General features: G+C 40.0%; 1 protein-coding gene and 1 long non-coding RNA gene across 10 annotated transcripts in view; one reads left to right on the forward strand and one right to left on the reverse strand.

Annotated features, from left to right (window-relative positions):
• ARID4A (AT-rich interaction domain 4A) overlaps nt 1-4085 on the forward strand; it is a 75322-nt gene extending 71237 nt beyond the window's left edge. For all 9 annotated transcript variants that reach the window (XM_005267964.3, XM_005267965.3, NM_002892.4 and 6 more), the window contains one exon: nt 2095-4085. In XM_005267964.3, coding sequence (XP_005268021.1) covers nt 2095-2198 — 104 coding nt within the window. In that variant the 3' untranslated portion in view covers nt 2199-4085. The remainder of the gene's footprint in view (nt 1-2094) is intronic.
• On the reverse strand, nt 232-25914 carry TOMM20L-DT (TOMM20L divergent transcript). Its single transcript, NR_187161.1, has 2 exons — nt 25510-25914; nt 232-289 (listed from the first exon to the last, which is right to left on the reverse strand). It is a non-coding gene; the product is annotated as a TOMM20L divergent transcript (long non-coding RNA).

The following is a 25944-nucleotide window of genomic DNA, read 5'->3' on the forward strand; positions in this document are numbered from 1 at the left end:
GAAAATAGTGAAGGAATATCTGAAGGTGATGGTGAATGGAAGCTCTAGGATGACCACTGCATAGCAGACCTAGAAAGCAACTATTCCAGGAGTAGGATGGAACAGGAGGGGAAAGCTCCAGAAGGGATGTCTCTTAAAAACCAAATAAAAGGTAAATTACCTGATAGGGTTGATCATGTTGAGAGAAGTTTTCTGCCTCTAGTAGAGATTTAGTGGATGACTTTGTGGTAGAGTGACGTGTCATGTGTGGCCTTGACCATTGTGCTCCAAGTCCAGCAGTTTTTAATTCCTAGAAATAGGAACAGGATGGAGCAAATGGAAAGAGATCAGACTTCTCATGTTCATCCTTTTCTTTTAAAAACTGTAAATAGCAAGAAGTCTTTACAGAACTTTTGAATATCAAAAGAAGAAAAGAACAAATTAGCAAATTAAAATTTCTTCAAAGAACCCACCACTTGCTCTGGGGTCAGTTTCCTAAAGGTGACATACATTTCAGACAATTAAAAAGATTTTCTTTTTGTTGAGACAGAGTTTCACTCTTGTTGCCCAGGCTGGAGTGCAATGGCACAGTCTTGGCTCACTGCAGCCTCCGCCTCCCGGGTTCAAGCCATTTTCCTGCCTCAGCCTCCCGGGTAGCTGGGATTACAGGTGCCCGCCACCATGCCTGGCTAATTTTTGTATTTTTAGTAGAGATAGGGTTTCACCATGTTGACCAGGCTGGTCTCCAACTCCTGATCCCAAGTAATCTGCCCACCTCGTCCTCCCAAAGTGCTGGAATTACAGGCATGAGCCACAGCGCCCAGCCAAAAAGATTTTTTTATTACCGTCTTTTTTGTTGTTGGGGGGTACAGGCTCTGGCACCCAGACTGGAGTGCAGTGGCATGATCACGGCTTACTGCAGCCTCAGACTCTTGGGCTCAAGCGACTCCCACCTCAGCCTCCCGAGTAGCTGGTACCACAGTGCCTGCCACCACACCCAGCTAATTTTTTAGTTTTTTTTGTAGAGGCATATTCTCACTATGTGGCTCAGGCTGGTCTGGAACCCCTGTTCTAAAGCAATCCTTTTGCTTTGGCCTCCCAAAGTGCTGAGATTATAGGCATGAGCCAACATGCCCAGCTTATTATAGTCTTTTCCCCATTTTTATTTGCTTATGTTTTTATAATGAGTTATTAAATTGAGATTTGAGTGATTTGTAGCATACATGTAAGAATTTGTTGCCTGGGCATGGGGCTCACGCTTATAATTCCAGCACTTTGGGAGGCTGGAGCAGGAAGATCACTTGAGTCCAGGTGTTTGAGACCAGCCTGGGCAACGTAGTGAAATCCCATCTCTACAAAAAATTTAAAAATTAGCTGGGTACAGTGGCATGTCTTAGCTACTTGGAAGGCTGAGGCAGGAGGGTCGCTTGAGCCCCAGAGGTTGTCATGATACTTGAATAAACAAAAATTAAAATTTTAAATAAAATAGGAACAATCAGGCAAAGAAAGGCAGAAGACAAGAGTATTGCAAGGAAAGAGAAGATAAAAGCAAAGAACTTAAAAAGTGGCAAAACACCTAATGCTCAGAGTACCGATCCCTAATCTGTGTTATGTCCTCCTGGAGAAAATTATGTTAAAACCATTTGAGGACTTTTTGCTTATCACACATCATTACTTTGATCCTGATCTCCATGATTCTGATACCTGTCAGAGGAAATCCTCTGAGTTAAATTAATTCTCTTACGGTCCTATGACCCATAGATAAAGCAGAAATTCCATATGGTTCCATGTTTATCTCAGGTTGACCTTGTTTCTGATTGAGCCAAGTTCCTTCATGGGATCTCCCAACTAGAGGTTTAAGAGTTTTTGTCTCTTTAATCTTTACATTTTATGATGTATTTTTAAGTGTTGAGTAGTGCTTAACTGACCAAAGACTAACTCCACTTAATTGAGCCAAACAAAATTTTTGCTGACAATTTGTTACTCCTTCATGTGACATATAAGAGGCCTGTGATTAAGGTGAATAATGTTAAGAATTTTATTTCTAATTTGCTGTTAGCTGGGTATCTTTGTGTAACAGTTTTTGGATCTAACATAGTTGTTTTGATTCCACAGTGTCTCATGCGGGAGCCTCCATGTCATCTGCTTCATCAGACACTGGAATGAGTCCCTCATCATCATCTCCCCCACAAAATGTACTTGCTGTAGAATGCAGGTGATAAACATTTTCTCTACCTTCCCAGCAGTTTGCTGCCATGGACATAAATCCCCAAACCCTGAATTACAACCACAGAAAGCACTCAACTGGTTTGACATTGCTAAGTATATCCTGTATACTTTTCCAGGCTGGATTGTATCTATTCCCCTCTCTCTTCTTTTTTCTTGTTGCAAAAAATAAGCTGATTAATAAGTGAAGGTTAAGCAGCCTGCCATATTTGTCATAATTTTTCCTCTTTACTTTTGTTTTTCGTTTGTTGTGATATAGAACAAAGGGCACTTAGCAAATTTGAATTTGTATAATAAAGCTTTCAGGTGTTACAGAAATCGTAGACAAGCAAGTGCACATGATAAACATCAAAATATTACCCAGCTGAATAGTTACTGCTGCACTTTCACTAAGATGTATTTGAACACTTGGTGAGTAGGGGGTTTATGTTGTGTTTTTTTTCATTATCGTTTTTTTTATTTTTGTGGAAGCACTTGCTATTTAGAACTGCCAAAGTATATGTTCAGCAGTGTGCCCAGGATTGAAGGTGTAAATGGGACAAAATAAATTGTGAAAGGAAGTGTAGTTGACTGAAAACTACAGTTGTAATAAGTCTTCCACTTTTTATAGGATTTTTGAGCACAAAATTATGCAAATATTTTAATGTTTATTAATGTTTACAGTGGAATTGTGAATAAGTTTTCAGTGGACTATCTTATCCCTTGACAAAAATATTTTGTCTTTTTTCTATGTAATTTCAGAGTTTTTATTTTGTTACAAAAAGACAAAAATGAAATATATAACAACAATGAAGTTATTTAACAAGATTTCTAAAGCTGAAATTTTTGTGTAAAATAAGGTATTATCTTGCAACTTGTTAAATATATTTATTCAGACATTGGATGTTGTATTTTTATGTATTTTTTAAAATATTAATAAAATTTAAAAAAAGAAAATTCTAGGTTAATTCACTCTTTGGATGACAATAGCTCTCAGCTGTCCTTTTTACAGGAGGTTGCATCCTGCAGCCTTGCCTGTGTTAAAGGGAGTCTGTCTCAGTCCATCAAACAGTATAGAACTATAAATGGGCATCTGGATCATTAAAGTATGTCCTTGTTTAGAAACTTTGGCAGTCCTAGTATTTAAACTGTTTTGAGGATCAAATTTTTGGTTGCCCTTAAGATACTTTGTCACAGTTTTTATGTTTGCTATACTGCCGAATGAATTTATATCTCCCAAAGTTGAGATGCAACAACTAAGTAAAGCAACTATGTATGCTTTGTCTGTGAATTGTTCCACAGACTGATAGATTTTGTAAATAATTCTTCCAAAATCATGTATTTAAAGCAGTTTTGCATATACATTATGTAAAAAGGTGATTTTATAAAAGCAGTTTTTAAATTCATGTTTGTACATTGAAAGGGGTTTTTTTTTTAAACCTCCTTTTCTGTGTTTAATATGCTGTAGAATAATAACCTAGATGCTCTAGACTGTATATCAGGATCTGATTTACAAGAAAAAGTCAGAGCTAAACACTAGTGATGGCATAGCATTACTGAAATCATTGTTTCTTAATTTCATTTTACTACATTGTGAACTTGTGATTCAGATTCCATTTTCTCAGAGAATTAAAAACAAAAAAAGTACTCTTGTAAAATGCACTTTTCTGTCTTTTCTTTGCAAAGCAGAAGTATCTCAATGTAAAATAAAAATGGAGCTCAGTGGGCAGTATTAATAAAGGCCATGTTTTAAACATAGGCTTTATACTTTTAGTTTTCATTTAAGTGATTGCTTTTTTCCTAAGTGCTTGTAACTTACAGTTGGAAAATCAGATTTCACAAAACCAAGCATTTTAGTATATTCAGCCTTTACAATAAAATATTTCTACTAATTATAAAAATGAAAAAAAAAGTGTCATTTAAATCCATTTGGACCTAGGAGGCAACCTTAGATTTATACATTAAATATTTTAATGATTTCCTTCTGTAGCAATTCAATAAATGTGAGATAAATAAGTTATCAGCTTGAGTACTGTCCCTTCTAATTGATACAAATTTGGTCATGAAGTATTGGGATGTTGCTACAAAGAGCAAAACTGTGTATTCATTGAATAGATACACACTGTTAAAATCCTTTCATTTGGAGGCTGGAAAGGATTATGAAATTAAGTGAATATTGACTAAGTATGACATTTCAAATATTGAGCATATTTTGAGTTTAGGTAAACTTTGAATAGATACCTCTTAAATGTAACTAAGAAAGTAAAAATATAGGCTGGGTGCGGTGGCTCATACCTGTAATCCCAGCATCTTGGGAGGCAGAGGCAGGCGGATCACAAGGTTAAGAGATTGAGACCATCCTGACCAATATGGTGAAACCCCATCTCTGCTAAAAATACAAAAATTAGCTGGGCGTGGTGGCACGTGCTTATAGTCCCAGCTACTCAGGAGGCTGAGGCAGGAGAATCACTTGAACCCGGGAGACAGAGGTTGCAGTGAGCCCAGATCACACCACTGCACTTCAACCTGATGACAGAGCAAGACTCTGTCTAAAAAAAAAAAAAAAAAAAAAAAAAGTAAAAATATAAAGACACTCTAATATAATGCAAGTTGCCATCTGTAAAATCAAGTTATTTAAAAGATTATGGTGCTTTCTGTTTTAGTATTGCATTGTGTGCTTTTATGTATTTCAATTTTTGAAACAGGGTCTTGCTCTGTCACCTAGGCTGGAGTGTAGTGGTGTGAACACAGCTCACTTCAGCCTTGACCTCGTGGGCTCAAGCCATCCTCCCACCTCAGCCTCTTGAGTAGCTGGGACTACAGGCATGTGCCACCACACCTGGCTAATTTTTAAATTTTTTGTAGAGACAGGGTCTTGCTGTGTTGCCCAGGCTGGTCTTGAACTCCTGGGCTCAAGCGATCCTTCTGCCTCGGCCTCCCAAAGTGCAAGGATTATAGGTGTGAGTCATTGTGCCCAGCTGGACATTGTGTGCTTTTATTGTTTGTTATTTTGTGTTAAATTTCTAGTTTTCCTCTCTTTCACTAAGAAAGATGGTTGCACTTAGCATATTAAAAGACTACTACATACTATGCCTTCTATGAAATTGCTTTAAGTTATGAAAATCTATGTGGATTGCCCAGTTAATTTGCTTACATACCTTTCTTATAAGCCCTGTAATTTTTTTTTTTTTTTTTTTTTTTTTTTTTTTTTTTTTTTTTTTGACGGAGTCTTGCTCTGTTGCCCAGGCTGGAATGTAGTGGCGCGATCTCCACTCATTGCAAGCTCCGCCTCCCGGGTTCATGCCATTTTCCTGCTTCAGCCTCCTGAGTAGCTGGGACTACAGGCACCCACCACCACGCCCGGCTAATTTTTTGTATTTTTAGTAGAGACGGGGTTTCACCGTGTTAGCCAGGATGTTCTCAATCTCCTGACCTTGTGATCCGCCCGCCTCAGCCTCCCAAAGTGCTGGGATTACAGGCGTGAGCCACCGCGCCCAGCCTTAAGCCCTGTAATTTAACATAGCTATCAAGAGTGTGAAAGCATTCAAAGCTATATTCAACCATATATAAAACCAATTAACAGAATTCATTCATTGATGATTTATTTAGTATCTTCTATGTGCCAGGCATAAGCTTAAGGCCCAGGAGCCACAACGGTGAACAAGACAGAATAAAGTCCTTCTCTTCATGGAATGTATAATCACGGTGTAATAATATGGTAGATGTAAACAGTTAACTCATGTAATTATTATTTTTTTATTACAGTCTCTGCTTATCCAAACTCATGTAATTCTTAAGTGCAGGTATAATAAGCATATGAAGTTATGGTGTGCAATGAGATAATGATAGAGAGCCCACTAGTTTGAAGGCAGGGGTGGTATGGGAAGGCTTTGCAGAGAAAGCAACAAGAAAACTGAACTCCAGTGAAGATTATGAATTGGCTGGGGAAGTAGAAGGAGAGATATGGAGAGTATAGTGTTCCAGGGACATGGGGGAGGGGAGATTGATAGAAATGGTCCAGGTAATGAGCCAGGGCAAGAGTAGACCTGATGCAGGATAGGAGTCAAGTAGGACTGAGAGTGGTAGGGGAACAGGAGCAAAAAGGACAGGTGGTCAAGGTTTGAGCAGTTCCCTACCACTCTCAACCCTGCTTGTCCAGAGGTGTCTCAAGAGCCACTTTTCCATGAAGCTTTTGCTGACTTCTCACTACAACCAGAATAGTGCCCTCTTTTATGCTCTGATAGCTTTTCAGTCTGTATTATTTTACTTGACAATTTACCTGATGTTTACTTGTGCATGTGTGTTTCTATCCTACTAGATGATTGAGTTCTTAAAGCCAGACATTTGTTTGTTTGTTTTGTTTTTTAGTAGAGACAGGGTTTCACCACATTGGCCAGGCTGGTTTCAAACTCTTGACCTCAAGTGATCCACCCGCCTTGGCCACCCAAGTGCTGGGATTACAGGTGTGAGCCACGGCGCCTGGCCTAAAGCCAGACATTTAAAAGAGGTCTTTAGGGTTATTATTATTATTATTTTGAGACAGGGTCTTACGTTTGACTACTGTCACCCAGGCTTGAGTGCAGGGGTGCAATCATGGCTCATTGCAGCCTCTATTTCCCTGGCTCAGGTGATTCTCCCACCTCAGCCTTCCAAGTAGCTGGAACTACAGGTGTTCATCACTTTGCCTGGTTAATTTTTTTATATTTTTAGTAGAGACAGGGTTTCACCATGTTCCCCAGGCTAGTCTTCAAATTCCTGGGCTCAAGCGATCCACCTGCCTCGGCCTTCTAGAGTGCTGGGATTACAGGCGTGAGCCATTGTGCCAGCCAAGGTTCTTTTCACAAAGTAATTAAAAAAAAATCATTTGAAAAGTGTTAAAGCAGATTTGTTTAACAGTCTGATCTGAAAATATTCCTAAATTGATGAGCTATTTTTCCTTCTCTCCTTGTTTGTTCTTCCTTTTCCCATTACTTTCATGTGGTTACACACAGATTTTTATCACATTAAAGGAAGAGTACAATAAGTGATGACATCCATCATTAGTGAAGGTTGGTTGACTCTTAGAATGGAGTTTGCTCTAATGAGGAATTTGTAACAAATACATGCTTAATGTTTTCACAGAGTAGAAATTTTTTTAGTTCTTTAAATTTTATTACAAAATCAAATGTTTTCCATGTTGACAAGCACAAAAAAAACTTCTTTTATTCATATAGATCCATTATGTATCTCTTTAAACAGAATAAGGGCAGTGCTTATAATTTTGGTATTTGTACTTCACATAATTATGAAGCTATCTTCACTTTGTAATCTGTGTCATGCAGAATTCATGTTGAAAAGTTCTATTGTGAAAAGCTTAAGGAACTTCCACATAGATACAATAAATGATTACTCTGTACAAGTAATTGGATTTCTTCTCGAGGCTAAATTACATTAAACAAGACAATCTGATTCAAGAATCCCATCATTTTAGGGTTGCCAGAGTGAGCAAATAAAAATACAGGATACCCAGTTAAATGTGAATTTCAGACAACAGATAATTTCCTCATATAAGGATGTCCCATGTAAAATGGTTATTTATTAAAACACACTTAGGCTGTGCACGGTGGCTCATGCCTGTAATCCCAGCACTTTGGGAGGCTGAGGTGGGTGGATCACCTGAGGTCAGCAGTTCAAGACCAGCCTGGCCAACGTGGTGAAACCTCATCTCTACAGAAAATACGAAAATTAGTGGGATGTGGTGGTGCATGCCTGTATTCCCAGTTACTTAAGAGGCTGAGGCAGGAGAATTGCTTGAACCTGGGATGCGGAGGTTGCAGTGAGCTAAGATTGTGCCACTGCACTCCAGCCTGGACAATACAGCAAGACTCCATCTCAAAAAAAACAAAAGGCCCAGCGTGGTAGCTCACGCCGCTAATCCCAGCACTTTGGGAGGCCAAGGTGGGCAGACCACAAGGTCAGGAGATTTGAGACCATCCTGGCCAACATGGTGAAACCCCGTCTCTACTAAAAATACAAAAATTAGTTGGGCATGGCGGCACATGCCTGTAATCCCAGCTACTTGGGAGGCTGAGGCAGGAGAATCACTTGAACTAGGAGGTTGCAGTGAGCGGAGATCGTGCCACTGCACTCCAGCCTGGCAACAGAGCAAGACTCCGTTTCAAAAACAAACACACACAAAAACCTCAGATTTAACTGCGTATCCTGTATTTTATCTGTAAACCCTATACTAGTTGCCCTTCTGCTATAACACAAAACATATATTTATTATCCTTAAAGAACTTTTTTGGTCCCAGTTGGAGGGTAACAAATTGCTCAGGTTTTCTCTTGGTTTCCAGGGATGAATGTGCATGGGCAGCCCATCAGTGATTTTTTTTTTCCAATAAGTTTTTGGGGGACAGGTGGTTTTTGGTTATATGAATAAGTTCTTTAGTGGTGATTTCTGAGATGTTGGTGTACCCATCACCTGAGCAGTGTACACCGTACCCATTGTGTAGTCTTTTTTCCTTCATCCCCCTCCCACCCGTTCCCCCAAGTCCCCAAAGTCCAATGTATCATATTATGCCTTTGCATCCTCATAGTTTAGTTCCCACTTACGAGTGAGAACATAGAATGTTTGGTTTTCCATTCTTGAGTTACTTCACTTAGAATAAGTCTCCAGGCCTGGTGTGGTGGTGCACGCCTGTAATCCCAGCACTTGGGGAGGGTGAGGCAGGTGGATCACCTAAGGTCAGGAGTTTGAGACCAGCCTGGCCAACATGGTGAAACCCTGTCTCTACTAAAATAAAAATTAGCTGGGTGTGGTGATGCACACCTGTAATCCTAGCTACCTGGGAGGCCCAGGGGAGAGAATCACTTGAACCCAGGAGGCGGAGGTTCCAGTGAGCCGAGATCACACCACCACACTCAAGCCTGGGCAATAGAGCAAGACTGTGTCTCCAAGAAGGAAAATAATAATGATAATAATAATAATAATAATAATAATAGTCTCCAATTCCATCTAGGTTGCTGCAAATGCCATTATTTCATTCATTTTTATGGCTGAGTAGTATTCCATGGTGTATATATATATACCACAGTTTATCCACTAATTGACTGACAGACATTTGGGCTGGTTCCATATTTTTGCAATTGTGCATTGTGCAAGTATGCACATAAACATGCGTGTGCAAGTATCTTTCATATAATGACTTCTTTTCCTCTGAGTAGATACCCAGTACTGGGATTGCTGGATCAAATGATAGTTCTACTTTTAGTTCTTTAAGGAATCTCCACACTGTTTTTCATAGTGGTTGTACTAGTTTACATTCCCATCAGCCGTTTAAGTATTCCCTGTTCACCACATCCTTGCCAACATCTTTTTTTTTTTTATTTTTTGATTATGACCATTCTTGCAGGAGTGAGGTGGTATCACATTGTGGTTTTGATTTGCATTTCCCTGAAAATCAGTGATGTTGAGTTTTTTTTTCATGTTTGTGGGATACTTGTATATCTTCTTTTGAGAACTGTCTATTCATGTCCTTAGCCCACTTTTTAATGGACTTGTTTTTTTCTAGCTGATTTTGTCTGACTTCCTTGTAGATTCCGGATATTAGTCCTTTGTTGAATGCATAGATTGAGAAGGTTTTCTCCCACTCTGTGGATTGTCTGTTTACTCTGCTGATTGTTTCTTTTCCTGTGCCGAAGCTTTTGAGTTTAATTATTAGTAAGTACCATCTGTTTGTTTTTGTTGCATTTGCTTTTGAGCTCTTGGTCTTGAAGTCTTTGCGTAAGGCACTGTCTAGAAGGGTTTTTCCGATGTTATCTTCCAGAATTTTTATGGTCTCAGGTCTTAGGTTTAAGTCTTTGATCCACCTTGAGTTGATTTTTGCATAAGGTGAACAATGAGGATCCAGTTTCATTCTTCTACATGCGGCTTGCGAATTATCCTAGCACCATTTGTTGAATGGGATGTCCTATCCCCACTTCATGTTTTTGTTTGCTTTGTCGAAGATTAGTTGGCTGTGTTTGGCCTGATTTCTAGGCTCTCTATTCTGTTCCATTGGTCTGTGTGCCTATTTTTAAACCAGTACCATGCTGTTTTGTTGATCATGGCCTTATAGTACATTTTGAAGTCAGGCAATGTGATGCCTCCAGATTTGTTCTTTTTGCTTAGTCTTGCTTTGACTATGCCAGCTCTTTTTTGGTTCCACATGAATTTTAGGATTGTTTCTTCTAGTTCTGTAAAGAATGATGGTATTTTTATGGGAATTGCATTGAATATGTAGATTGCTTTGGCAGGATGGTCAATTTCACAATATTGATTCTACCCATCTAAGAGCATGGGATGTGTTTCCATTTGTGTTGTCTATGATTTCTTTCAGCAGTGTTTTGTAGTTTTCCTTATAGAGGTCTTTCACCTCCTTGGTTAGGTTTATTCCTAAGTATTTTATTTTATTTTATTTGCAGCTATTGTAAAATGGGTTGAGTTCTTGATTTGATTCTCAGCTTGGTCGCTGTTTGTGTATAGCAGAGCTACTGATGTGTGTACATTAATTTTATATCCTGAAATTTTGCTGAATTCATTTATTCTAGGAGCTTCTGGAGAGTTTTTAGGGTTTCTAGTATACGATCATTTTATCAGCAAACAGCGACAGTCTGACTTCCTCTTTAACAATTTGGATTCCCCCATCAGTGTTTTCTTTCAATTAACCATTTCCTTGATGTAGTCATTTTCTCCAGGATTGGCCCTATATGTACTATGATAGCTAACTTTTGACAAGATAGTTCTGAATACACTCAGATTTTTCTGGGAGTGTTCTTTTGATGGGGCACCTTTCCCACCAAGTGGTAACTGCTTTCAGGAGTTCTCCTCTTTCTTCCCTATCCAGACTTGCTCTCAAATAGAAACATAAATTAAATCTCATTAAACTTATCTATGACCAGACATTTAATAATTGTGGATAAAGCCAGCATAAATATTCATATATAGCTTTTTGTGTGAACATAATGTTTTCAGTTCTCTGGACTAAATACCTAGTAGTAAGATTGCTGGATTGTTTGACTGTACCATCTTGAATTCCCCCTAGCAATATACACCATTTTAAGTGGCCATTAACAGGAGAATGGATAAATAAATTGTGGCATGTTAACAAAATGCAATACTATAAAGCAGTTAAAATGAATGGACTGCAGCTAAATGTATCAACATGGCTCAAATCTCAAAAACAAGTAGAAAAAGCAAGTTGCCAAATCATACTTATAACATTTATACAAAATTGGAATATTCAAAACAATATATTAGTTTTGTATATGTCATCATAAATGTAAGAACTTGAAGCTGGGCGCAGTGGCTTACACCTGTAATCCCAGAACTTTGAGAGGCCGAGGCGGGTGGATCACAAGGTCAGGAATTCAAGACCAGCCTGGTCAACATGGTGAAACCCTGTCTCTACTAAAAATACAAAAATTAGCCAGGTGTGGTGTTGCATGTCTGTAATCCCAGCTACTCGGGAGGCTGAGGCAGGAGAATTGCTTGAACCCGGGAGGGGGAGGTTGCAGTGAGCCGAGATCTCACCATTGCACCCCAGCCTGGCAAGAGCAAGACTCCATCTCAAAAAAACAAAAAGAAAAAATATGAGTGGGAATGAAGAACACCAAATTCAGGATAGTGGTTTTCTCTGGAAAAAGGGGAAAGGCATGGAGAGGGTATACAGGGGCATTTATTCCCCCCTCCAAAAAGAGCTAAAGCAAATATGACCAAATGCTATGATTTAATAAGTTGAGTATTTATCATATTTTCTCTATTCCTTGCTATGTTAAAATGTGTTTAATAATTTTTAAAAATACCCAATGAACTGTTTCAAAATAAGATGAAAATAATTGGTAGAACTGAGTGCTCTGTTAGTGAATTAAGCTCCATTCATACTATTTCAACCATATGAAAGAAGCACTGTTATTTTGACACATGAGAAAACAGGTTCCAAATGGTCAAGAGAGTGGTCAAGGAAGTGTCAAAATTAGGACTCAAACCCATTTCTTCTGATTTCCAAGTCCAGCTTTTGTTCCATTATGTCAGTACTGTCTTTAGCCTCTGCTCTCTGGAAGCACTGGTTGCATTCTTACCAAATACTCAGTTCTTGAGCCAGGAACCTTTATGAATCAGAACACTGGCAAGTCGCAATTTTGAGGGGCAGGAGAAAATGCCAACTTATCTTTTACTGTCTTGTCACTTTCCATTTCTTATTTCTCCTTTCAAAATCTGTCACAAGGTAAAATTTGGTGACTCCAAAACTGTTGGCCAACAAGGATCAAATTTAGACAAGGTTTTTATTCCTCTGGCCCCCATAATATTCCAGATAACCCCTTTACTTACTGAACTACTTTTTGTCTGAACAAAATCCTTTATTTTAAATTGTAGAGCATCTGACATTTTTTATAACTTCTGAAACTTTTAAGTAATACATTTTAGTTATAGAAAAGTTAGAATATCAAAATGAGTTAAAACTAAAAATTATTAAGTAACAAGAAATTACTGTTAACATTTTGGTATATATACTTGCATGCCTTTTGCTATGTGTATAAAAATATTAAACGTTATATATAAACATCCTAACTTTTTTTTTTGGTGGGGGGGAAGATGGAGTTTCTCTCTTGTTGCCCAGGCTGGAGTGCAATGGCGTGATCTTGTCTCACTGCAGCCTCTGCCTCCCAGGTTCAAGCGATTCTCCTGCCTCAGCCTCCCAAGTAGCTGGGATTACAGACATGCGCCACCATGCCTAGCTAATTTTTTTTTTTTTTTTTTTTGAGACAGAGTCTCGCTCTGTCGCCCAGGCTGGAATGCAGTGCCCCCATCTTGGCTCACTGCAAGCTCCGCCTCCCAGGTTCATGCCATTCTCCTGCCTCAGCCTCCTGAGTAGCTGGGACTACAGACACCCGCCACTACACCCGGCTAATTTTTTGTATTTTTCATAGAGACGGGGTTTCACTGTATTAGCCAGGATGGTCTCGATCTCCTGACCTTGTGATCCGCCTGCATCGGCCTCCCAAAGTGCTGTCATTACAGGCGTGAGCCACTGCACCAGCCTAATTTTTGTATTTTTAGTAGAGACAGGGTTTCACCATGTTGGATAGGCTGGTCTCGAACTCCTGACCTCAGGTGATCCACCCGCCTCGGCCTCCCAAAATGCTGGGATTACAGGCATAAGCCACCGCGCCCGGCCAACGTCCTAACTTTTTAAAGCATGAATAGAGTTGTACACTGGTTTTAAAGTCAGCTTTTTTCCACTTGGCAATGGAGTATGGACACTTTTTCACATTAATGAGTAATTATTCCACATTAAGTGACTACTTCGTACTCCATGGTATTGTACATTCCTACTCTCCTATTTTTTGGAGGTCTAGGTTACCAACTTTTAGGTATTTCTTAGAACCATCCATTCTTCATCCATACTTTGCAAAAGTATGCAAACTTCTAATGGTATTTTCTGAAACTTTTTCAGTACTGATGGGATTATAAATTTAGAGTACCTTTGTGGGGGATATTTTGGCAATATTGACTGAGATTAAGAATGGACATATATCTTGATCCAGTAATTCCACCTCCAGGAATTTATCCTATAGGTATTCTCACCCATGTGTATAATAATATATGCTCAAGGCTATTAGTGGCAGCACTGATTGTCATAAAAATTAGAATTAACCAAAATGGCATCTCTACAGGGATTGCTAAATAAATTGTGGCACACTGATAAAAATAGATTACTATGTATCTGAAAAAAGAATGAGAATGCATACCATATCTGTAGAAAGATAACTGATAACACTGGTTGCCTTTGGGAAGGGGAAACTGTAACTGGGGAACAGAGGTGGGAGAATTTTCATTGCAGTCATTTGTGTCCTTTATGTTTTGAACCAAAAGAAGGTATTACCCACTCAAAAATAGATTTGACACTTCTTAAATGTCACTGAAATGAAAACAATAATTAAAAACAATTTTAGAATCTAAACCTTTCACTTCACATAAAAAAAATGACAGCAGTAAAGTGATTTGTCCATGTACAAATAGTTAAGTTATAAATGAATGTATTTATAAATCCCAATAAGAAGAATCCCAGATCCCAAAGGTTCTCTTTGCCCATACCAAGGGTTGAGGATGATGTGGAGGAACAGGAACTCTCATAGCCTGCTGGTGAGAGTGCAAAATTGTACAGCCACTTTGGAAAATGTTATGTTTTGTTTTTCTTTTGATTCAATTCAGGAAAGAGTTAATGCTTTGGAAAATTTTTGACAATTTCTTAAAAAGTTAAAGAAGTTACCCAGCTATTCCACTTCTAGGTACTTACCCAAGAAATGAAAGCATATGTCTACATATAGCAGCTTTATAAATCATGGCAAAAATTTGAAACAACCCAAATTTCCATCAGCAAGTGAATGGATAAGTAAATTATTGCATAGCCATACAATGGAATACAACTCACCAACAAAAAGGAACAAATTGATAACATAAGCAACAAAATAGATGAATCTCAAAATACTTATGCTGAGTGAAAGAAGTCAGACAAAAGTATACACTCTGGTTCCATGTATATAAAAATAGAAGATACAAACTAATGTATAGTAACAAAATAAATCAGTGGTTCCCTGGAAACTTGGAGTGGGGTATGTGGAGGGGGTGGAATGGAAGGGTAAGATTACAAAGGGGCCCGAGGAAAGCTTGGGGGTGGTGGATGTGGTTTCATAGGTGAATACATTATAGGAAAATTAATAAAAGTATGTACTTCTATAAAGAAATACCTGAAGGTAGGGGGCAAAAAAGTATATACTTCTAAATGTGTGCAGTTTGAACATTAGAGGAAAAAAACCTTCCAAAATACAAACAGCATAGGAGGCATGCAAACCCAAGGCCACTGTGTTTGGCTGCTACTGAGACTAGAACTCAAGTTTAATCAAGTTGGTGATTTTTTAGCCTGGTGAATACAATGAGAGATTTCTGCTTTTCTCCACCTAGGTATGTCATGGCCCTTTTGTGCTTCCTTCTTTGACTAGAAATCTTAAAATCTTCCCTTTAAATAGGTCAGGAAGTAGATAGGCCCGGTATATTACTTTTCAGTGTTACATATAAATGGAAATCCTATTTTTCACAATTTTCCTAAGTCAATTTATGTACCCCTTCTCCTTTAATATCTGAGCATTTCTCACATACCTTTTTGAAACACCGATGCTATTAAGTTGAAATTTTTACTGTAATGACTGAGGTAGTCATCACTCTTGGGTATGACCTTCATTTGTTGTTACTAGAGTTTAAACTCTTTCATATACCTTTAATATCCCAAGATTACTGTGTTATAGTTTTATTACTCTTTCTCTGATCCACTGTGTCTCCAGCATCCCCATCTGTTTTCTTCTCAAGGTTCCCTCCCTCCCTCATTGCCAGTAGCAAGTTTCATCTCCTTTTAGCCTTCTTTTGGGGCACTTCCTCAAACCTTTCATTTCACTTGGCCTCTGAAGGTGCTACTGAGTTCTATCTTCTTAGTACTAAAGACATAAATAAGAGATAAGGAAATTGCTGATTTCAAAACAGATTGGTCTCATGTCTAAAGACTAACTGCTGTTGTCTAGAACAGTCCTAATAAAAGGACTTTACATGGAGAAATCGGTGGTTCCTTTTTTTTCATTCACTGATTCATTCAATGAATACTGATAGAGTGCTTTCTATTTACCATATACTGCTCTGGCATAGTAGCATTTTAGCACAATGGACTCAATGTGACAACAATAATAGACTTCAAAAATAAACTGTAGTTCTTTGAGGAGATCAATAAAATTGATAAACCTGTATCCAGGCTGATCAGGAAATAAAGAGGAAGACATAAACTACCAGTATCAGGAATGAGGGTCGTGATCACTACATACTGTATCTATAGCTATTATAAAGATAAGGAGGCCAGGCATGATGGCTCGTGCCTGTTAATCCCACCACTTTGGGAGGCTGAGGCAGGCGGATCACCTGAGGTCAGGAGTTCGAGACCAGCCTGGTCAACCTGGCGAAACCCCATCTCTACTAAAAATACAAAAATTAGCTGTGCATGGTGGCATGTGCCTGTAGTCCCAGCTACTTGGGAGGCTGAGGCACAAGAATCACTTGAACCCTAGAGGTGGAGGTTGCAATGAGCTGAGATCGCCCCACTGCACTCCAGCCTGGGCAAGAGTGAGACTCTCTCAAAAAAAAAAAAAAAAAAAAAAAAAAAGGAATATCATGGACATCTTTATGCCAATATATTTGCCAACTTAGCTGAAATAGAAAAATTCCTTGAAAGACATGAATTATTGAGGCTCACTCCAGAAGTTGATAACCTGAATAGCCCTATATCTATAAAGAAATGGAATTGATGTTAAAAAAAACTCCCCACAAAATAACTCCAGATCCAGCTGGTTTCAGTAGTGAAGTCTACCAAACATTTAATGAAGGCATAATAGTGATTCAACTCCAAGTCTCCCAAAAAACTGAAGAAGATTTCTTCTAAATCACTCTACAAGACCAGCATTAGTATGACACTAAAACCAGACAAAGGCATTTCAAGAGAAGAAAACTAAAGACCAATATCTTTCACGAAAATACATGCAAACATTCTAAACAATATTTCAGTAAATAAAAGTCAACAACATATTAAAAGGATAATACAACATGGGCCAAGTGGGATTTATTTCAGGAATACATGATTGGTTTAATATTTTTTAAAAATCAGTGAGGCATAGTGGTTCACGCCTGTCATTCCAGCATTCTGGGAGGCTGAGGCAGGAGGATCACTTGAGCCCAGGAGTTCAGGGCCAGCCTGGGCAGCATAATGAGAGTGAGTCTCTACAAAAAAAATTTTTTAATTAGCCAGGTGTGGTGGTGCATGTCTGTGGTCCCAGCTACCTGGGAGCCTGAGGCAGGAGGAGTGCTTGAGCCCAGGAGTTCAAGGCTGCAGTGAGCTATGGTCATGCCACTACATTCCAGCCTGGGCAACAGAGTGAGACCCTGTCTCAAAAACAAAATAAAAATCAATGTAATTTACCATATTAAGTTAAAAAAGAAAAACCTTATGAGGCAGAAAAAAGCATTTGACAAAATCCATCTGTTCTCAATAAAAATTCTCAACAAAGCAAGCATAGAAGGGAACTTCTTCAACTGATAAAGGACACCTATGAAAAACCTATAGTTAACATCATATTTAATGATGAATGACTGAATGTTTTTCCTCAAGTTATTGATTGATTGATTGAGATGGAGTCTCACTCTGTTGCCCAGGCTGGAGGGCAGTGGTATGATCTCGGCTTACTGCAACCTCTGCCTCCCTGGTTCAAGTGATTCTCCTGCCTCAGCCTCCCAAGTAGCTGGGATTACAGGCACCTGCCACTACGCCCGGCTAATTTTTGTATTTTTTTTTTTTAGAAGAGATGGGGTTTCACCATGTTGGTCAGACTGGTCTCGAACTCCTAACCTCAAGTGATCTGCCCACCTTGGCCTCCCAAAGAGTTGAGATTACAGGCATGAGCTACCATGCCTGGCCTTCCTCAAGATTAGGAATGAGACACATATATACTCTACCTGCTGCTGCTTTTTTTTTTTTGCTTTTTTTCTTTCCCTGAGACAGGGTCTGACTCTGTTACCCAGGCTGGAGTGTAGTTGTTGGATCACAGCTCACTGCAGCCTCCATCTCCTGGGCTGATGCCATCCACCCACCTCAGCCTCCCAAGTACCTGTGAGTACACGCTCGCGCCACCATGCCTGGCTAATTTTTGTAGTTTTTATAGTTATAGGGTCCCACTATGTTGCCCAGCTGGGCTTGAACTCCTGTGCTCAAGTAATCCTCCCATCTTGGCCTCCCAAAGTGCTGAGACTACAGGCATGAGCCACCACACCTGGCCTCTCACCACTTCTTTTTTGTTGTTGTTGTTTTTGTTTTTTTTTTGTTTGTTTGTCTTTTTTGAGATGGCGTCTCGCTCTGTCGCCCAGACTGGAGTGCAGTAGTGCGATCTCGGCTCACTGCAAGCTCCGCCTCCCGGGTTCACGCCATTCTCCTGCTTCAGCCTCCCGAGTAGCTGGGACTACAGGCCCCCGCCACTAGGCCCGGCTAATTTTTTGTATTTTTAGTAGAGACGGGGTTTCACCGTGTTAGCCAGGATGGTCTCGATCTCCTGACCTCGTGGTCCGCCCACCTCAGCCTCCCAAAATGCTGGGATTACAGGCGTGAGCCACCGCACCCGGCCGGCCTCTCACCACTTCTATTCAACATTGTACTAGGAGTTCTAGCCAGAGCATTTAGGTAAGAAAAAGAAATCATATAGGTATCTAGACTGGTGAGTTTAGCAAGATTATGAGATGCAAGTTTAATATACAGAAATCATTTGGATTTCTATGCACTAGCAATAAAGACTGAATAATTGGAAATTTTAAAATACCGTTTACAGTAGCATAAAAATATGAAATATATTGGGATAAATCTGACAGGATGGGAAAGACCTCTATATTGAAAACTGCAAGATATTGCTGAGACAAAGACAGTCTTTATGAGGGACTATACCTTGTTCATGGGTCATAAAACAGTATTGTTGAGATTCTTTGCTCCTCAAATTCAGTGCAATCCCAATAAAAATACCAGCAGGCATCTTGTAGAAATTGACAAGCTAATTATAAAATTCATCTGGAAATACAAAGGACCTAGAGAAGCCGAAAAGAACTTTGAATAAGAACTAAGTTGAAGGCCTAGCATTACCTAATTTCAATAATTATTATCAAGCTATAGTAATCAAAAACAGGGTGGTACTGGAATAAGATGGACAAATAGATCAATAGAACTGAATAGCCAAAAATACGCTCTCATATGTATGGATAAGTGATTTTTGACAAAGGTGCCAAGGCAATATGGTGAAGATAAGACAGCCTTTTAAGGAAATGGTGCAGGGCGGACACAGTGGCTCACGCCTGTAATCCTAACACTTTGGGAGCCCAAGGCAGGCGGATTACTTGAGGTCAGGAGTCCAAAACCAGCCTGGCCGACATGGTGAAACCCCGTCTCTACTAAAAAAATTAAAAAATTAGCCGAGCGTGGTAGCGGGCACCTGTTATCACAGCTACTCAGGAGGCTGAGGCAGAAGAATCGCTTGAACCCAGGAGGCTGAGGTTGCAGCGAGCCGAGATCAGGCCATTGCACTCCAGCATGTGCAACAGAGCAAGACTCTGCCTCAAAAAGAAAAAGAGAGAGAAAGAGTGAGGGAAGGAAGAAAGGAAGGAGGGAGGGAGGGAGGAAGGGAAGGCAGGCAGGGAGGGAGGGAAACAGTTGGACATCCATATGCAAAAAATTAATTTGGATCCATACCTTGCAAGATATATGAAAACAAAGTGGATCACAACCTTAAATAGATCACAACATGGATCAGAAAACCTAAAACTATAAAACATCTAAAAGAAAATAGGAGAAAATATTTGTGACCTTTTGCCTAACTGGGTTAGGCAAAGATTACTGGATACAACATCAAAAGCATAAAGTAACAAATTGATAAATTGGACTTTACCAAAATTTAAAACTTTGGTACTTTAAAAGACACTGTTAAAAGAATAAAAACATAAGAAACAGACTGGGAGAAAGTATTTGCATAGTACACATCACATAAAGGACTTCAAAATATAGAAAGAACTATCAAAACAGTAAAAAATGCAATTTCTAAAAAATAGACTAAGGATGTGAACATATACTTCAACTAAGAAGATATATGGATGGCAATTATGCACATTAAAAAAAGATGCTCTTCAAGAGAATGAGAAGACAAACCACAGACTGGGAAAAAATATTTGCAAAAGACAGACCTGATGAAGGATTGTTATCCAAAATATACAAAGCTTAAAATGCAACACTAAGAAAACAACCTGATTTAAAAATTGGCAAAAGATTTCAACAGACATCTCACCAAAGAAGATATACAAATGGGAAATAAGCATAGGAAACAATGTTCAATATCATATGTATATGTCATTTGAGAACTGCAAATGAAAACACTGAGATACTACTACACACCTATTAGAATGTAAAAATCTAAAACACTGACGATACCAAATGCTGGGGAAGATGTGGAGCAACAGGAACTCTCATTGCTGCTAGGAATGCAAAAATGCTACAGCCACTTTGGAAGTCAGTTTGGCTGTCTTCAGTTTCTTTCTTTCTTTTTTTTTATTTTTTTTTAAGATGGAGTCTCACTGTGTCACCCAGTCTGGAGTGCAGTGGTGGGATCTCGGCTCACTGCAAGCTCTGCCTCCCGGGTTCACGCTATTGTCCCGCCTCAGCCTCCCGAGTAGCTGGGACTGCAGGCACGTGCCACCACGCCTGGCTAAATTTTTGTATTTTTAGTAGAGACGGGGTTTCACCACGTTAGCCACGATGGTCTCGATCTCCTGACCTCGTGATCCGCCTGCCTTGGCCTCCCAAAGTGCTGGGATTACAGGCGTGAGCCACCGTGCCCGGCCTTCAGTTTCTTATAAAACTAAACATGGGCTGGGCGTGGTGACTCACGCCTGTAATCCCAGCACTTTTGGAGGCCGAGGCGGGCGGATCACGAGATCACGAGTTGGAGACCAGCCCGGCCAAGGTGGTGAAACGCCATCTCTACTAAAAATAAAAAAATTAGCAGGGCGTGGTGGTGGGCGCCTGTAATCCCAGCTATTTCGGAGAATAGGAGGCAGGAGAATCGCTTGAACCCGGGAGGCGGAGGTTGCAGTGAGCCAAGATCGTGCCACTGCACTCCAGCCTGGGTGACAGAGTGAGACTCTGTCTGAAAAAACAAACAAACAAACAAAAACCTAAACATAATTATACCACACGATCTAGCAGTCACACTCCTTAGTATACACTGAAATGAGTTGCAAATTTACGGCCACACAAAAACCTGCACACATCCAGCATGGGCAACATAGGGAGACACTATCTCTACAAAAAAAAAATAAAAAAATTATCCAGGCATAGTGGTGCATGCCTGTGGTCCCAGCTACATGGGAGGCTGAGATTGGAGGATTGCTTGAGCCTGGGAGGCTGAGGCTGCAGTGAGCTTTGATCATCGTGCCACTGCAGTCCAGCCTGGGCAACAAAGGAAGACCTTGTCTAAAAAAACAAAACAAACAAAACCTGCACATGCTTGTTTATAGCAGCTTTATTTATAATTGTCAAAACCTGGAAGCAACTGAGACATCCTTCAAGTAGGTGAATGGAAAAACTGTGGGTGTATCCAGAATATGATATTATTCAGCACCAAAAAAAATGAGCTACCAAGCCATGAAAAGACATGGAGAAAATTTAAAAGCATACTGCTAAGTGCAGAAAGGCAATCTGAAAAGGCTATATACTGTATGATTCCAAATATATGACATTCTGGAAAAGGCAAAACTATGGAGATAGTAAAAAGATAAGTGGTTGCCAGCATTTAGAGGACAGGAAGGGATGTATAGGTGGAGCACAGGGGATTTTTAGCGCACTGTAACTATTTTCTATGATGCTAGAATTGTGGATACATGTCACTATATATTTTTCCAAACCATTATACATTTGTACAAAACCAAGAATGAACCCTAATGTAAACTCTATGGACTCTGGATGGTAATAATGTGTCAGTGCCGGTCCATTAATTGTAACAAATGTATCACTCAGGTGAGGGATGTTGATAGTAGTGGAGACTATGCATGTGTGGGGGTTGGGGGGATACAGGAACTCTGTACTTTATACTCAATTTTGTTGTGAACCTAAAACTGTTCTAAAAATTAACGTCTATTTAAAAAGTTGCTCAACATCATTAGGCATTAAGGAAATGCAAGATGAAACTCATGGTGAGAATCTACTATAGCCTTATTAGAATGGCTAAAATTTATAAATTTGACACAGACAAGTGTTAGTGACAATATTGAGGAACTAGAACTCTTTTTTTTTTTTTTTTAAGACAGTGTTTTGCTCTTGATGCCCAGGTTCAAGTGTAATGGCGCAATCTCGGCTCACCTCAACCTCCGCCTCCCAGGTTCAAGTGATTCTCCTGCCTCAGCCTCCCGAGTAGCTGGGATTACAGACATGCGCCACCATGCCCGACTAATTTTGTATTTTTAGTAGAGACGGGGTTTCTCCATGTTGGCCAGGCTGGTCTCGAACTCCCGACCTTGAACACCCACCTCAGCCTCCCAAAGTGCTGGGATTAGAGGCGTGAGCCACCGCGCTCAGTGGAACTAGAACTCTTCTACATTGATGTTGCAAAATGGTATAACCATTTTGGAAAAGTGTTTGGCAGTTTCTTTTTTTTTTTTTTTTTTTTTTTTTTTTTTGAGACAGAGTCTCACACTGTCGCCCAGGTTGCAGTGCAGTGGCGCGATCTCGGCTCACTGCAAGCTCTGCTTCCCGGGTTCACGCCACTCCCCTGCCTCAGCCTCCTGAGTACCTGGGACTACAGGCGCCCACCACCATGCCCGGCTGATTTTTTGTATTTTTAGTAGAGATGGGGTTTCACCGTGTTAGCCAGGATGGTCTCCATTTCCTGACCTCATGATCCCCCCACCTCGGACTCCCAAAGCGCTGGGATTACAGGCGTGAGCCACTGCGCCTGGCTGGCATTTTCTTAAAAAACAAAAACAAACAAACAAACAAAAAAACATATCCCTACCTTAGGATTCAGCTATTTTACCTTGGGTATTTACTCAAGAGAATAGGAAAGGCATATTCATATAAAGACCTCTATATAAATGTTTATGGCAACTTTATTTGTTGTAATAGTCAAAAATTGGAAACAATTCAAAGTTCAACAGATGAATGGTTAAACAAATTTTGATGTGATCATAAAATGGACTACTACTTACCAATAAAAATGAACTATTGATACAATAACATGGATTAATCTCAAAATAATTGTACTGAGTGAAAGAAGCCAGACAATAAAAGAGTACATACTATATGATTCCATTTATATAATACTCTAGAAAATGTAAACTAGTCTACCGTCACAGAAAGTAGGGCATGTTTGTGGCAAGGGAAAGGAAGGATGGAGAAGGTATTAAAGAAGTACCTTTAATGGTAGATAGATATATGGTTACTATCTTGATTTTGATGACAGTTTCCTGGATGCATACATATGTCAAAATTTATAAAACTGTACACCTTAAATATCTGCAATTTATTGTATATCAATTTTACCTCGATAAAGTGATTTAAAAGAAAGAGAGTGGCCGGGCATGGTGGTTCATGCCTGTAATCCCAGCACTTTGGGAGGCTGAGGCGGGCAGATCACCCAAGGTCAGGAGTTCAAGACTAGCCTGGCCAACATGGTGAAACCCCATCTCTATTAAAAATACAAAATTAGCTGGGCGTAGTGGTGCACGCCTGTAATCCCAGCTACTCAGGAGGCTGAGGCAGGAGAATTGGAAATCGTGCCATTGCACTCTAGCCTGGGCAACAAGTGAAACTCCATCTCAAAAAATAATAATAAATAAATAAAAGAAAGAGAGCTATCATCCAGCATAGAACCATGTTTTGAAGACAACTATTAGTGCTATCTCAATATGAAAATTATCAAAGCTTTATAGGAATTCTGATCACCAAATTAGCAAGAGTGGTGCCTATATCTGAGAAGAAAATATCTACCTGTCCCATAGAAACTTGCCTAATTTTTCAATTATGTTTCCTCATGGCCTCTCTCTCTGGCAATTTCAACTTTAGAAATCTGTTTATTCCTAATTGCTGTAATAATTCTCCTACTTTTATGTGTCACTGTTTACTTTGCTCCTGAATACCCAGCTAATCTCAACAGTTTCTCTCGCTCCATCCCTCTCCATTTACCACAGGCATTAACTATGTGAAAGGGAAGGTGAAAGATGGGAAGAAAGCCACAAGATTGGTGGTCTTAGAAGACAAGTTGCCGTCAACCTAAAGAAAGATCAATTGAAGCTGGGCTAAACCCTTGCCAAGATTCTGAACCAGTCCCTGATCACCAGTAATACTTACAAGATGCTGACACTATCCTCTCCTCTGTGTTTACAATCAGGTTTTCACAATAACCAAGTTCCCTTCTAGAAGACAATTATCATGAGAAAAAACATACAGTACTCAAGAAAGCATGATATGTAACTTACCCCTGCTAACTCTTAAATTTTGAGGGCTGAGGCTACTACTCAGACCCATTGGTTTTTTAATCTATCTACTAATTTATAATTTACCTATCTATCTCTATATATATATATATATATATATATATATATATTTTTTTTTTTTTTTTTTTGAGACAGAGTCGCACTCTGTTGCCCAGGCTGGAGTGCAGTGGTGTGATTGATCTCAGTTCACTGCAACCTCCCCGCCTCCTGGGTTGAAGCAATTCTCGTGACTCAGCCTCCCAAGTAGCTGGGATTACAGGCTTGTGCCACCATGCCCAGCTAATTTTTGTATTTTAAGTAGAGATGAGGTTTCACCATGTTGGCCAGGCTGGTCTCAAACTCCTGACCTCAGGTGATCCACCCACCTCGGTCTCCCAGTGCTGGAATTACAGGCGTGAGCCAACACGCCCAGCCACCTATGTATTTTTATAGAGACAGGGTCTCATTCTGTCACCCAGGCAGGAGTGCAGTGGCAGTGATCAGAGCTCACTGCAGCCTCCAACTCCTAGGCTCAAGTGATCCCTGCAGAGTAGCTAGGGCTACAGGTGCACACCACGACCAGTATTTTTTTGTTTTGTTTTATCGAGACGGAGTCTTGCTCTGTTGCCCATGCTGGAGTACAGTGACACAATCTCAGCTCACTGCAACCTCCGCCTCCCGGATTCAAGCAGTTCTCCTGTCTCAGCCTCCCAAGTAACGGATTACAGGCACATGCCACCACACCCAGCTAATTTTTGTATTCTTAGTAGAGACAGTGTTTCACCATGTTGGCCAGGCTGGTCTCGAACTCTTGACCTTGTGATCTGCCTGCCTCGGCCTCCCAAAGTGCTGGGATTACAGGCATGAGCCATTGTGCCCGGCCCTTGTTTTGTTTTTTTAGAGATGGGTTCTTGCAATGTTGCCCAGGCTGGTTGGTCTCCAAGTCCTGAGCTCAAGTGATCCTCCCACCTCAGCCTCCCAAAGTGTTGGGATTTCAGTTGTGAGCCACTGCACCTAGCTAGACCCACTGGTATTCAGAGCAGTGATGAGCACCTTGCTATGCACACACTAGTAATAACAGTAAATTGTAAATCAGTAAATAGCAATTGTATAACCTAAATAAAAATGAATTATCTAGTTCTTTAGGTCCCTAGCTTATGCCTTTTCTCCTCCTTAGTAGAAAAGTCAGAACTCTGGTATTTAGGACAAAGTCTTACCTTCTTTCTTTCTGCTGTGTCCGCTGAGTAAGGCAAATATTAGAAAAGCAGCTAGGCCAGTATCATGGGACTCTCAGTTGTTTTTGCTTTGGGACCTTTGACTGTCAGTCTCAGCCCAGCAATTTAACGTATTTTTCTAGATTAAACAGTGTTGCTTCTGAATTCCTCCCTTGGACCTTGGACTGCTGGGTCCTTTCAGGAGACAAAGGATACCAGATTGGGGAGTACGGGCTACTGTTAGACAATGTGAACTAGGAGGTGACCAAAGTTGACCTTAGAGTCAACTTAATTTTGCAGGTGAGGGAACAGAGACCTAAACGACCACTGGCTCCCAGTAAAGCAGATTCGCAGCATACTGTGCTTTGCCTGAATGGGTGTTGTAGACACAGGGGCAGAGGCGTGTTTGGAGAAAGGGTTCAGAATTTGGAGTGCGAC

The sequence above is a fragment of the Homo sapiens genome, chromosome 14, assembly GCF_000001405.40.
Source record: "Homo sapiens chromosome 14, GRCh38.p14 Primary Assembly".
NCBI lineage: Eukaryota > Metazoa > Chordata > Mammalia > Primates > Hominidae > Homo > Homo sapiens.